The 12465-nt window shown below is 46.7% G+C and overlaps 1 protein-coding gene across 1 annotated transcript in view, besides 10 other annotated features; it reads left to right on the top strand.

Moving 5' to 3' along the window:
- Positions 1425 to 1474: an enhancer, noted in NCBI's record as "active region_9652". NCBI's record gives its function as "activates an Ori minimal core promoter by ATAC-STARR-seq in GM12878 lymphoblastoid cells {active_cell/tissue: GM12878}" and the evidence as "EXISTENCE:reporter gene assay evidence [ECO:0000049][PMID:35858748]".
- Positions 6302 to 7102: an enhancer, noted in NCBI's record as "OCT4-NANOG hESC enhancer chr15:69115796-69116596 (GRCh37/hg19 assembly coordinates)". NCBI's record gives its function as "activates a minimal SCP1, AML or CMV promoter by ChIP-STARR-seq in naive H9 embryonic stem cells {active_cell/tissue: H9 hESC(naive)}" and the evidence as "EXISTENCE:reporter gene assay evidence [ECO:0000049][PMID:30033119]".
- Positions 9123 to 9182: a silencer, noted in NCBI's record as "silent region_6595". NCBI's record gives its function as "represses an Ori minimal core promoter by ATAC-STARR-seq in GM12878 lymphoblastoid cells {active_cell/tissue: GM12878}" and the evidence as "EXISTENCE:reporter gene assay evidence [ECO:0000049][PMID:35858748]".
- Positions 9253 to 9412: a silencer, noted in NCBI's record as "silent region_6594". NCBI's record gives its function as "represses an Ori minimal core promoter by ATAC-STARR-seq in GM12878 lymphoblastoid cells {active_cell/tissue: GM12878}" and the evidence as "EXISTENCE:reporter gene assay evidence [ECO:0000049][PMID:35858748]".
- Positions 9463 to 9712: a silencer, noted in NCBI's record as "silent region_6593". NCBI's record gives its function as "represses an Ori minimal core promoter by ATAC-STARR-seq in GM12878 lymphoblastoid cells {active_cell/tissue: GM12878}" and the evidence as "EXISTENCE:reporter gene assay evidence [ECO:0000049][PMID:35858748]".
- The window catches only part of ANP32A (acidic nuclear phosphoprotein 32 family member A), a 42361-nt gene continuing 39559 nt past the window's right edge, over positions 9664 to 12465 (top strand). Inside the window, exon 1 of the mRNA NM_006305.4 lies at positions 9664 to 9861. Coding sequence (NP_006296.1) covers positions 9808 to 9861 — 54 coding nt within the window. The 5' untranslated portion in view covers positions 9664 to 9807. The remainder of the gene's footprint in view (positions 9862 to 12465) is intronic.
- Positions 10384 to 10965: an enhancer, noted in NCBI's record as "NANOG-H3K27ac-H3K4me1 hESC enhancer chr15:69111933-69112514 (GRCh37/hg19 assembly coordinates)". NCBI's record gives its function as "activates a minimal SCP1, AML or CMV promoter by ChIP-STARR-seq in primed H9 embryonic stem cells {active_cell/tissue: H9 hESC(primed)}" and the evidence as "EXISTENCE:reporter gene assay evidence [ECO:0000049][PMID:30033119]".
- Positions 10966 to 11547: an enhancer, noted in NCBI's record as "NANOG-H3K27ac-H3K4me1 hESC enhancer chr15:69111351-69111932 (GRCh37/hg19 assembly coordinates)". NCBI's record gives its function as "activates a minimal SCP1, AML or CMV promoter by ChIP-STARR-seq in primed H9 embryonic stem cells {active_cell/tissue: H9 hESC(primed)}" and the evidence as "EXISTENCE:reporter gene assay evidence [ECO:0000049][PMID:30033119]".
- Positions 11213 to 11322: a silencer, noted in NCBI's record as "silent region_6592". NCBI's record gives its function as "represses an Ori minimal core promoter by ATAC-STARR-seq in GM12878 lymphoblastoid cells {active_cell/tissue: GM12878}" and the evidence as "EXISTENCE:reporter gene assay evidence [ECO:0000049][PMID:35858748]".
- Positions 11583 to 11822: a silencer, noted in NCBI's record as "silent region_6591". NCBI's record gives its function as "represses an Ori minimal core promoter by ATAC-STARR-seq in GM12878 lymphoblastoid cells {active_cell/tissue: GM12878}" and the evidence as "EXISTENCE:reporter gene assay evidence [ECO:0000049][PMID:35858748]".
- Positions 11873 to 12432: a silencer, noted in NCBI's record as "silent region_6590". NCBI's record gives its function as "represses an Ori minimal core promoter by ATAC-STARR-seq in GM12878 lymphoblastoid cells {active_cell/tissue: GM12878}" and the evidence as "EXISTENCE:reporter gene assay evidence [ECO:0000049][PMID:35858748]".

The following is a 12465-nucleotide window of genomic DNA, read 5'->3' as shown; positions in this document are numbered from 1 at the left end:
GATAGACTGTACAGGTGCAAGAACTGCATAGTCAAAGATAGAAAAGAAAAAGGAATAACAGAAGGTCTAATTTGCCTGGAAATTAGAGATAACACTGGAAGGTAGTATGAGGCCTTCTTTGGGGAGTTTTAATGCCAGGTGGGGGAAAGCAGGCCACAGGGAACCAGAGAGGCTGTTGTTGACCGGAGGAGCACTGGAACTGGAACTCAGAAACATTCATCTGGCCACAAAACCACATCAAGACCTCAGGGCCAGTGCTGATCTAGACAAGAGTTTCCAACTACTCAATCTTGAACAAGGTAGTGAATTCTCATAAAATTAAATTCAATGTAGAGGAGTGTCCTATATTCTAAAGCTGAGTCCTCCCTACATTGCCATTTTAAAAATAGTCTATAGAACAATAAAAGATAAGTTTTTTAAAGAATGTCTTTATCTGGCAAAATTAAAAGTTGGGAATTCTATGTTGGTCCTAAACCCTTTTTTTAAATGTTATTGGTGAGAAAACCCAAAGCCTGGGAACTCTTAGCACACGGTGCCAATTTAGACATGAGAAAGGGTGGGGCGAGCTTGCTTGGATAGAGTGGTGAAAAAGTGGGGCTGATAGGAGGAAAGGTAGTTGGAAATTTAGAGGACGAGTTAACCATTTGGTTATGGGAGTCAACAGAGGACAATTCCAAGGGTACCATTAATCAAAACAGGAGAGCCAGAAGGATAAAGGTAGTTTGGTGGAGGCAGAGTAGGCAGAGGCTGGCAAGGAAGAGATTCGTTTTGGAAATGTCATGTGGTTTGTTCCTGTAAGATACCTGTTTGGAAATGTCCAATGAGCAATTAAAATGTCAGTCTGCAGCTTGAGAGGGGAGGACTACTTATTGATGAAACAACAGGCATTTATTTTATACTTACTATGAGCCAAGCACTAAGTTTGGGGGAAAGAGACATATTTGCATGTTATTCCATAGACTCCCTTGCACTGATCTTTTCTACATTAAGTACTTGTTAATATAATCCTTTTATCTGTTTTATGGTGCTTTGAACATGTAAGCCAAGATACAATGGAAATACAATATTCACATTTACAATTGGTCTACAAATGAATAGAAAACTAAGACTGAAAAAAACCTTTATTATTGTGTTAGTTACTAGCATAGGCTACAGTAACAAATGGATACAAGCATATAATGGCACAGCCCCATAAAAGTTTCTTAGTCACAATTTCTCTCTTGGTGGGCAAGTAAATAGGTTGCTGAAATGACTCTTAAGAGACATTTCAGCCTGAGAGGGGGTCCACCTCATAAACACAGGGCTTCCACTGCATCTCAGTCAGTATGCAGTGGCACTTTCAAGCCTTTAAGTGGCAGCATCACTTCCACTTATAATCAACAAGCTAGAACCCAGTCACATGGCCCCAACTAACTGCAAGGGCCATCTAGGAAACATAGTCAAGCTTTGTGTTCAAGGAGAAGAGGAAATGGATTTTGCTGAACAATGAGCAGACTGCCATAATTTTCATTAAATCATCTGAGAAAAAAAGCTAACTTATAGGAAATAAAACACTGGGTCATGAAGAACACTTAGTGTACCAATGAACAGAATCTTTAGCACTGCTTCTCTGGAAAGAAGTAATTGGCACTTATAAGGAACTTCTATTCATGTAACAGTTAAACCATGTTTTATTAGAAACAAAACAGCTGAATTCCAATATTGTTCAGAGTCCTTGCAAGGGTATCATTTGTTTTTTCTAGCTGAATAGTAATCTAAGCTAACTGACCTGAAATGATGGGAAAGAAGACAATATTCCAGTATTAATATGTTTTCTACAAGCACATCATTGATAACCTTCCTCTTTGTTCCCAGGAACATAGGCCTCTTCAATGTGTTTGTGGTTTTTGCATTCGTTTCACCATCAGCATTTTTTCTTCACAATTGTCCTTCAACGACTGCATCCGGTTATGAACTCTTAGTTAGCCTGTGACCACCTGCCTACTTCCAGATTTTGACTAAATTCTCAAACCCTTCATGTCAGTTCTTGAGCCTGAACTGTGCTCAGAGTAGCAGACAGAAACCCATTAGCAGTAATCCATCACTGCTCAAGATCTTTTATCATTTGATATCTAGAGATATCTGCATTTATTTATGAAATATGTCGATTATCCCTTAGAACTAAATTCCTTGTAATTTAAATCAAATATCTTTACTAGGGACATTTCCTTTCCAAATTTTAAGATTATCACCAGTTTTGCTGCGGTAGAGTCTTTTTTTTTTTTTTTTTTTTTTTTTTTTTTTTTTTTTTTTTTTGAGACGGAGTCTAACTCTGTCACCCAGGCTGGAGTGCAGTGGCACCATCTTGGCTAGTTGCAACCTCCACTTCCCAGGTTCAAGCGATCCTCCTGCCTCAGCCTCCCAAGTAGATGGGATTACAGGCGTGTGCCCCCACACTGAGCTAACTTTTGTATTTTTAGTAGAGTTGGGGTTTCACCATGTTGGCCAGGCTGGTCTTGAACTCCTGACCTCAACTGATCTGCCCACCTCGGTCTCAAAAAGTGCTGGGATTACAGGTGTGAGCCACGGTGCCCAGCCAAGGAAGTCTTATTGACATCAGCAGTGATACATTGTTTCTTCTGGCTTCAAATTTGGAAAGGGAAGCATTTGAAAAGAAACTGGGATTTCAGATATTAGCTCTGCTTTACATTGATCCTAAATAGGTGGTACGGTCTCTTGCTGGTAAGTAGTAGGGAGGAAGAGGGGAGATACTATGGGAGTAACATGGATCATCAGGAAACCTTCACAGCATTATTTTGTTAGAACATGTTCGTGGATTTTTGGTTTTGGTCACCTAGCACCAGAACACTTAGTTTAGGCAGAGTCCTAAAATAGGCAGGAGGCAGGGTCACACATCCCACTGTGGAAGCTAAAGGAGGAAGATAATCTTTTCTCTCTGACAGCTGGGGCATCTGCAAATGTTCTTGCCAAGGGCTTTGAACCTCGAGGGAGTGACACAAAAAGGCAGGATGCTGAGATCATTGTAGGTATGGTGGGATTCACAGCCCATAGCAGAGATGACTTCTGAGGTGTGAGGTCCTCTGAAGACTTTACCTAGGGCAGGGACCATCTTGGCTGTGCTCCAAATTGCCAGCTTCCCTGGCTTCTTCTTTCCTGGACCTTGTTCTTTGGTTCTGTGACAGACTTATAAAAATTGCCTTTTTCTTGTGTTGGTCAAGGTAAATTTCTGTTATCTTCACCAAAAATTCTGACTAGCATAAACATTCCACATATCATCTACACCTATAATTTCCATTAAAATACCTGTTTCATTGCAAAAATTATCAATGGAAAACTTTTTAAATATAGACAAATAAAAGACCTCAAAATCAAAAACCACTATGACATCATCACCCATGCAAAACCATTGTAATCAAAGTTTTTAAACATTTTTTGGTACATACTCTCCCAGACTTTTTTCCTGGGCATATGAATCTTTTCTGTTTTTTTCTTTTTCATTTTCCCTCTTCCCCTTTCTTTTCTTTCTTTCGCTATTATAAAAATGCTATGATACAATGATCAACATGTCTGTTATACATCTTTGCACACTTGTATCCTGAGTTTGTCTGCTCTTCTGCCTTATCTATAGAATTACTTCTCAACATGAACACAGACATGAGTTGGCCTAGCCTAGTGAAAAATGTTTGTCACACTTACTTGACTTGCCCTCCAATATATATGTAGAAGTGGTAATTCTCATATACAAGAAGGCATATACAATAATTTCACGTACATTATTGAGTTATAAGACCAATGCAAGGCTGGGCACCACGGCTCATATCTGTAATCCCAGCACTTTGGAAGGCCCAGGCAGGAGGATCGCTTGAGCCCAGGAGCTTGAGACTAGCCTGGCCAACATGGTGAGACCTCATCTCTATAAAAATTTAAAAATTAGCCAGGTGTGGTGGTGCATGCCTGTGGCCCCAGTTACTTGGGAGGCTGAGGCAGGAGGACTGCTTGAGCCCAAGAGGTCAAGGCTGCAGTGAGCCATGATCGCATCACTGCACTCCAGCCTGGGTGGCAGTGAGACCCTGTCTCAAAAAGAAAGGAAAAAAAAAAAAAAAAGACCAATGCAGCAGAGTAAAACATGTTCCTCCACTGGGTAAAAGTCCTCTAACACCTATCGTGGCTATCTCATTTCGTCATGTACAAATGAATTCAAAGTTTTTATATTATAGTTGCTAGGATCCAGAACTTCCAAAGAAAGTTTAGGGTATACATATACTTGCCTGAAAGAACCCAATATTTCAACTAGAAATACGTTAAAAATTTACTAATTTCTCAGAATGCATTAAATTGATCTCTAATTCAAGAGGCGCTGTAGAAAATTTTTTACAAATAGATCATTACTTAGAGGTACAAATAATAATTGCCATTACAAAGCAGAGAATCTAAGAGGATTTAATTATTGTATACATAATTTTACTATGTATACGAAAGTTATAAATGCCATTTGCAAATGGTAAAAACATTAAAAGTTCTTAAAAAGTCTGATCTCTACCTCATATCTTAATAGATTTTAGTATTCTTTTCTTCATAGAGGTAAACCTCAACTCTAGATGGATTAAAACAAATTAGTGGAATCTAAATTAATTGCATTTCTATTTTTCAACCAAAATTGCCTTATGTCACTTTGTTCTATAGCTCCTCATTCCATTATTTGTCTTTAAGGCATTTATTTTTTTCCTTCACAGCCATATTTTAATACTAAAAGTAAGAGCTTACAGCTCTGGTTTTCTTCCTGATGAATGGTAAACAAACTTCCCTCATTGCTACTTCAAAACTGTCTTTAATAAATATATTTAAGAAACCGATTCACAAAATTTCTAGAGACTTCCAAACAAGTGTGCAAGTGATTTTTTTTTTTTTTTTTTTGAGATGGAGTTTCACTCTTGTTGCCCAGGCTGGAGTGCAATGGTGCGATTTTGGCACATGGCAACCTCTGCCTCCCGGGTTCAAGTAAGTCTCCCGCCTCTGCCTCCCGAGTAGCTGGGATTATAGGCACGTGCCACGAAGCCCGGCTTTTTTTTTTTTTTTTTTTTTTTGTATTTTTAGTAGAGATGGCATTTCACCATGTTGGCCAGGCTGGTCTCGAACTCCTGACTTCAGGTGATCCACCCGCCTTGGCCTCCCAAAGTGCTGGGATTACAGGCGTGAGCCACCATACCTGGCTTTTTTTTTTTTTTTTTTTTGAGACGGAGTCTCGTTCTGTCGCCCAGGCTGGAGTGCAATGGAGTGATCTCTGCTCACTGCAAGCTCCGCCTTCCGGGTTCACGCCATTCTCCTGCCTCAGCCTCCCGAGTAGCTGGGACTACAGGCGTGCGCCACCTCACCCGGCTAATTTTTTGTATTTTTAATAGAGACGGGGTTTCACCGTGTTAGCCAGGATGGTCTCCATCTCCTGACCACGTGATCCGCCCACCTCGGCCTCCCAAAGTGCTGGGATTACAGGCATGAGCCACCGCGCCCGGCCTTTTTTTTTTTTTTTTTAATGAGACAGTATCTGGCTATGTTGCCCAGGCTGGAGTGCCGAGGCGTGATCTCTACTCACTGCAATCTCCACCTCCCGGGCTCAAGGGATCCTCCCACCTCAGCCTCTATTGTAGCTGGGACCACAGGTGCACGCCACCATGCCAGGCTAATTTTTTTTTTTTTTTTTCATTTTTGGTAAAGATGGGGTTTCACCATGTTGCCCAGGCTGGTCTCGAACTCCTGAGCTCAAGCTATCTGCCTGCAGCTTCCCAAAGTGTTGGGATTACAGGCGTGAGCCACTGCACCTGAGCCTTTTTTTCCTTTTTAAAAGAAACCAACCATCTTTAAGCGGTTTTTAAGATTTTTACTGTTTTTTGTTTTTAGAGAAACAGGTCTTGCTATGTTGTCCGAGCTGTTCTTGAACTCTTGGGCTCAAGTGATCCTTTCACTTCAGCCTCCCAAGTAGCTGGGCCTACAGGGGAACATCACCATGCCTGGCTTATTAATTTCACTTTAAAAGTCACATATATGACAGTTTTCATCCAACAGGGCTTTTTCTCCCTGACCAATCCATTAATAAGGTAACTATCCAATCATTAAAAAAAAATTCTTTTTCTAAATTATCCAATACTTTATTAAGCAAAATAAAATAATATTTAACTTTTTAGATCCCAGGCTTCAACATTATTTGCTATTCAATGAAAATAAATAAAATGTAGTGGTTTTCACATTTGTTACCACAGATTTCAAAATAATAATCTACATTCCTAAAAACTATTTACATATACAAACAAAAAAGAACATAATTAAGCTGGAGTTTTTCCATGTCATTGTCTTTGGGGTCCAAGCAGCAGAACCATGATGTAGGTAAGAGAGTACTACGGCCGATTGCCAGTGATGTGATTCAAGCTCAAGAACAAAAAGTTGAGCTGTGGGTATATTAGCTTGACTCATAAAAAGGATGCTAACCAAAGGGTCTCCATCTTTAGAGACCAAACAAGGGCAAATGTGCTATTGGTGCAAAAGTAATTGTGGTTTTGCCTTTTTTAAAAAAAATGGTAATTACTTTTGCACCAACCTAATAAAATGGCAATAGTAACGATATGGTTATTTGTAAAACAGTACTCTCCTACACATTTCAAAAGAGCCTAAGGACACTCATTGTTCATGTCTTTGAGAACAAAATAGGCTGCTCATTTATTTGGAATGGTTCTTGATGGAGGATATTCTGGAAGGCGGGAAGATCTTTCCTTCCTGGGCCATCTATCTCTCTAGGGGGTTAAACTTTGAATTGTATCTCATTTATTCTTCTCAGTGTGACTCAAACCTAGTTTCAGAGGTTAGAGACTCTACATCTTTCAAACACAATTCCTGTTGTAGAATTACTCAGTAGATAGGAACTCTTACCTGTTCCCAACTCCGTTTCAAAATTCAGCCAAGATTCCTTGATATGGGATTTCTTTCTATATTTTCTGAAATGCAGTGCCACTTAGAACACTTATTTACTATTATAATATACAATAAAATGTAATTTAAAAAACAACTTTGTAAAATAAGATATTTGTAAGAGCAGTGGTTTTTTTTATATTTGGTCATGTTGTGTGGGGCAAATACAGCTCAGCTTTGGCTTTACTATATTCCTTTTTTAATAATAAAAAAGCAAAATCATATGAAAATTTTCTTACATATAGATCTATTTGTAAAAGCAAAAGAAAATTTATTTCAAGTGTGTAAGGAAAGCGGAAATTACTCAATTGGTTATACATATACTTTTGGATATTTCAATTTCTGTAACGACTGACATCCAGTGAAGCCTTCTTTCAATTTTCTAACATTAATACAAAAGTCATCAAAATGTATAAATGTAAGATGCTTCTAAAAACAACTGTCACATTTAACGTTTTGATTTAGTAATCAGGCCATGATTTTTTCGATTCTAATTTGTTTCTGTACTTTCTCTTTAATGGGGGAGGGGGTGGGCTTCTAAGTCTTCCTCTTGAGTCTTTGTACAATAAAGTGAGCTATTTGCTTCTATTTAGCAAAGCTGGATGGGGCATATCTCTGCATTTGATTGGTTGGTTTTTAAGGGATTACTCCTCTGGAAAGACACTGTCTCATATTGCATTGCTAGCAGCGTGGTCTTAACTGTGGTTAAACTTTTAAATTGAAAATGAACATTTACCATCAAAGAGAACACAAACTTCAGGACTCCTATGTTACACAGATCATACACACCATATTGACCTGTTTTGATAAGAGTTCTGTTTGAATACAATCCTAAACACCATATCCAGAAATAACAACTGTCTCAATGGCATAAATAGGAAATTTGGGGTTCCTCATGTATTACAAAGAAGCCAATAAAACTTAGAATAAATTCCAACTATACAAATAGGCTTCAATAAGATTAACAAAATCTGAGGATGACAGGCAAGTCAACAAGTTAAATAAATTATACTATTTATACCCAGATAAAATAAAACAATGACTTCTAACTTTTATGGTGCATTTCCCACCTAATCAGAGTAAACATCAGACTTCAAATTCCATTTATCATTTTATCTGAAAGAATTTACTGAGTAAAATCCTTAGTTGCAGGGCTTTACACTTGCAATCCATCAGGTTGCAATATTAAAGTTACTACAGCTTCTTCCCCAGTGTAAGCATTCTGTATGTGTTTTATTTACATTGTCACTTTTTATTTCCTCCTCAACTTCGTATGTCTAAGAATGAAACTGGATTGCTATTATGCAACAGTATTTTAACTTTGCAACATACATACTGGCTTATCTCTCCTTTGAACTCCTGTTCCTGAAAAATAAACATATGTATCCAGAAAAACTACCTTGAGGCGTGTGGGGAAGAGTGCAGACATGTAGAAACAAACACTAAAATACAGTCGTGTGGAAAGGTAAGGATGTATCTGTCCTCGTTGACAACAATCCCCGTGGTTTATTAACAGCCACAGGCAGCCAACTTAGTGCCGTAAGTCGGTAACCCAGTGGGCATCGGGGCTTTAAGGTCTCTTAAAACTTAATGTGATTCAAAAATACCCAAGGCAACCACGCCGAAAAACCAGGAGAAAGGGCTCCAGTTAGAGCCTCCTTGGCAACCCAAACCGAACCGAATGACTCAGGTGGACGATTAGAATAAACCGTGCGCCGTTCTCTTTCACTAGGTCTATAAAGCCCAGAAATTATGTTTGGTCCAGAAAACCAGGAGTTATGAGCACCTTCCTTTTCCACCTTTTAATATTCTACATATCTAGCAACGGTTCTTAATCCATGGTCTTCATTCATTTATTGCCTAAACAAGATCTTGGGTGTCTCTTGGTGATCACTTCTTCCAAGCTGACCTAATATGACAGCAAAGTGAAAAGCCTCTTCGTGGGAAGGGTCGCGACCGCGCGGTAAGTCATCCAAAAGTGGAAGCATCTTGCTTTTACTGACTTATGTATACGAGGGTGGCGATGGTGGCGGCCTGACAGGGACGAGGCCGGAGGGGAAGGGGCGCGCGGGCTGCTGGGCAGCCGCGGTGGGGGTGACGGGGGCAGCCACGCTCCCCAGCGCGAGCCGCCGGACCCGGGACCCGACGAGCCCCTCCCGGCATTGCACCCTGACCCCTCTCCTCCTTCCAGGCCTTTCATCTGCCCTCCCGCTGGGCAGCCCGCGGTCCCCGGACCTCAAGCCGCCCGCCTCCTTCCGCAACCCCGTCGCGCCGCCCCGCGAAGCCCTCGGCCGGGCGGGGACCCCGACCCGACCCCTCCGGCCGCGCCCCTCCCCCTCGCAGAACGCACCTGCGGCCCCGCCCCCGGCCGAACGCTGAGGCGGCGGCTGGCTGGCAAGGCCGGGCGGCTCGGCCCTCGAGGCACAGTCACCTTCCCTTCCCCCGCCATTCCGCCCACCCCCCTCACTCAGCCACAGAGCAGCCGCCGCGCTCCTCAGCCGCCCCGAAATCTAAAGGGGTCCGTCTCCGGCACCACTACCAAATGGCCGAGCCTCCCTGGCCGGCTGCGCAGCCCGCCCATTGGTCCCTTCCCCCCCCCGCCGCCACTGCCATTGGCTGTTGCCCGGAGACCCTCGGCGGCGATTGGCTCGGGCCGCTGCCGCTCGTCCATGGGGCCGCAGATCCCGCCTCCACGGCGATCAGGTTAGTGTGCGCCGCGGGTGCTGGGGGCTCGAGAACCGAGCGGAGCTGGTTGAGCCTTCAAAGTCCTAAAACGCGCGGCCGTGGGTTCGGGGTTTATTGATTGAATTCCGCCGGCGCGGGAGCCTCTGCAGAGAGAGAGCGCGAGAGATGGAGATGGGCAGACGGATTCATTTAGAGCTGCGGAACAGGACGCCCTCTGATGTGAGCATTTGCCAAAAATATCTCTGTCGGTCCATTCTCCTACTTTGTGTGTGTGTGTGTGTGTGCGCGCTGGGGGGAGGCACTTTTTTTGGGGGGGGGCGCCCGGGAGGTGCGGGTTTGGGGGTCGGACTGCAAGCGAATTGGCAAGGCTGGGGGGTTGCAATGCCATCCGAGCATGTTCCGGCTGCCGCCGCCGCTGCCCTTGGTGTGTGACTACCTGTGCGTGTGCTCCCGCGTGTGCGAGTGTGGGTGCGAGAGTGTGCGTGCGAGTGTGCACCCATCGGGGGCCGGCGGGCGCACGCGTTTGGGTCGGAGAGAATGAGGCGAAATCACCCTCGGAGATCGCTGCTCCCGTGACTCCGTCTGGGGGGAAGATTAACGAGGGAGGAGGAGGAGAGGGGCTGCCTCCTGGATTTAACAACAAAAAAAGGGGGTTTTACATTTTATAAATGTATCCCCCCTTCCGCCCCCCTCCCGCGCCTCCCCCCTCCCTTTCTCTCGCTCGCTCGCTCGCACACACAATAAGTTTGGGGCTTCGCGAGTCCGGTTTAGTTTCTGATAAATGTGGGCCGAGGCCCCCGGGGAGAGCGCGTGGGGAGGGGGCTGCAGCGGAGTTGGGAATGGCTGGAGTTTAAAGTGCGTCTTCATTTCTTTGCAGTGATGAGGCGAGAGACGGGGGAGCCATATTTGTAACTTTGTAGTGTTCGTGAACGCGCCCTTTCTCTCCCTCCCTCCCTTTCTCTGCCTCCCTTCCTCTCCTCCTCTTTCTCCCTCACTCTTTCCACCCCACCTTCGGGCCAGATGCTGATGTTTCTTCCTTTCCTTCCGAAGGGAGGATAAATTAGAAGGAGGGGGAGGGATTTTCGAACGTGCTAAGGCACAGATAATCCCCGCGTCTCCCTGCCTCCAGCGATCGCTGGTGCAAGTTGCCCAAAGGCTACGTCCCGGTGCCCCCTCGCCCCAGCTCCTTCCGGCTTCCCCAAGATGCCAGCCTTTGGGCCCTGGTGCCCCCCAGCTCGAACCCCCGGCCCGTCTTTCTCAGTGCTGGGCTTGTCGGCAGCCATTCGGCGCCTGCTTAATAAATGGGCACGGGAAACTTTGTCAGGACGCGAGCTGCCCGGAGCTGGCGCCCGTGGTGGGTACTGGCTGGGTCCACGTTTATGCGGGCATGGCAAACACGCAGCTCTAGGATGGGAGTTTGCCCGCTAGCCGCCGTTATTGATTGGGCAGCGGCGGGAGCACGGCCGGAGGAAACTTACACGGGTGGGAATCGCGAGGCTCGAGCGAAAGCTTACCCCTGAGGAGGGGGAAGGTGAGGGTGGGTGACTCGAACGCTGGTTTTTATTTCTGCCTCCCTCTCGCTTTCAAACCTGAGTGTTTTCGGCGAGTTGGCGGCTCTGGGGCGGAGACCCTGGCCAGCTCCCCTCTTGGCCCCTTGGGGGGACCGGGGACGCGCTGGCGGGAGGACGCCCCCAGTCTCGGTGGCCCGAGCTCCATGGAGTTGGGAGTTTGGGCAGCACCGTGCGCTGGCCTGTCGCCCCTCTAGCCCGTTAAACCCGAATCCCGGCGAAGGCAGGCCTCGCTTCCTCTTTTCCCTAGTTCCTCCCCCAAACCTGAGTGAGACTTTTGAAAACAAGATCCTTTTTGTCTACCCCCTCCCCGCCTTAACGCAGCTGTGGACTGGAGACGTGCGAGTGCCTTATGGCGCGCAGGGCGGGGAGGGGGCGGCCGCGGGAGAGGAGGGGGCGCCGCCGGTGGAGGCCGGAGTTTCCGCGCACTATTTGCGGGCGGTTTGCCTCTCTCCGGCCGCTTTCGTCCCGGCCGGGACCCGGCGCCTAGCGTTTGGGGGCTGGGTGTGGTGATGGGGGAGGGGGCCGGGGCCGCGGTCTTCCCGCGTACTTTCCGGAAGCCCCCTGCGCGGAGGGGGAAGGGCGCCAAGCGCGGGGCCGGGGTCGCCGCGGGTGGGTGCGGGGGCGCGGCTGGCCTGGCGAACCCGACCGACGCTGCCGGCCCCCCGGGAGCAAGCAGGAAAGCGGGTCGAACCGGCTCTTTAAACTTCCACGAGTGTGTGTGTGTGTTGGGGAGGGGAGCGCACCGCGCCGTACTGGGAGCGATTTCTCACGCTTCGCCCCCTCGCCTCCCAGCCTCGCGGCCCACACGCCTGCCCCCTGCCTGGAGGCGGGGTGGGGCGCGGGTGGCGGAGGAGGGGGCACTTTCTGCACATTTGCGGGGGAGGGGGAGAAAGCTAGCGAAAGAGGGACAAAAGGGTTGGGGGAGGAGGAACTGTATTTTTTTAAACGTTCTTAAGACAAATGGCTCCCGGAGCGCGCCCCCTGCGCCCCTCCCCGCCGCGCTGCCCCTGGGCCCCCCACACACCCACCTTCGGCACCTCTCCCAACTGGGCTCCGGGAGCTGGTGGCCATGCCGCGACGCCGAAATAGGACGAGCAGCCATGTTTCCCGGGGCTCGCGCCGCACGCCCCGCCCCTCCTCCCCGGCGCGGGGCGCAGGGCTCGGAATGCGGGCTCCGGGCTCCATGTGGCGCGGGGCGCTGGCAGGCGGGCGGCGGGGGTGCAGTACGCGCGGGGCCGGCCTTGTGGCTTTC

The sequence above is a fragment of the Homo sapiens genome, chromosome 15, assembly GCF_000001405.40.
Source record: "Homo sapiens chromosome 15, GRCh38.p14 Primary Assembly".
NCBI classification, from domain to species: Eukaryota; Metazoa; Chordata; class Mammalia; order Primates; family Hominidae; genus Homo; species Homo sapiens.
This window is presented reverse-complemented; position numbering and strand designations above follow the sequence as displayed.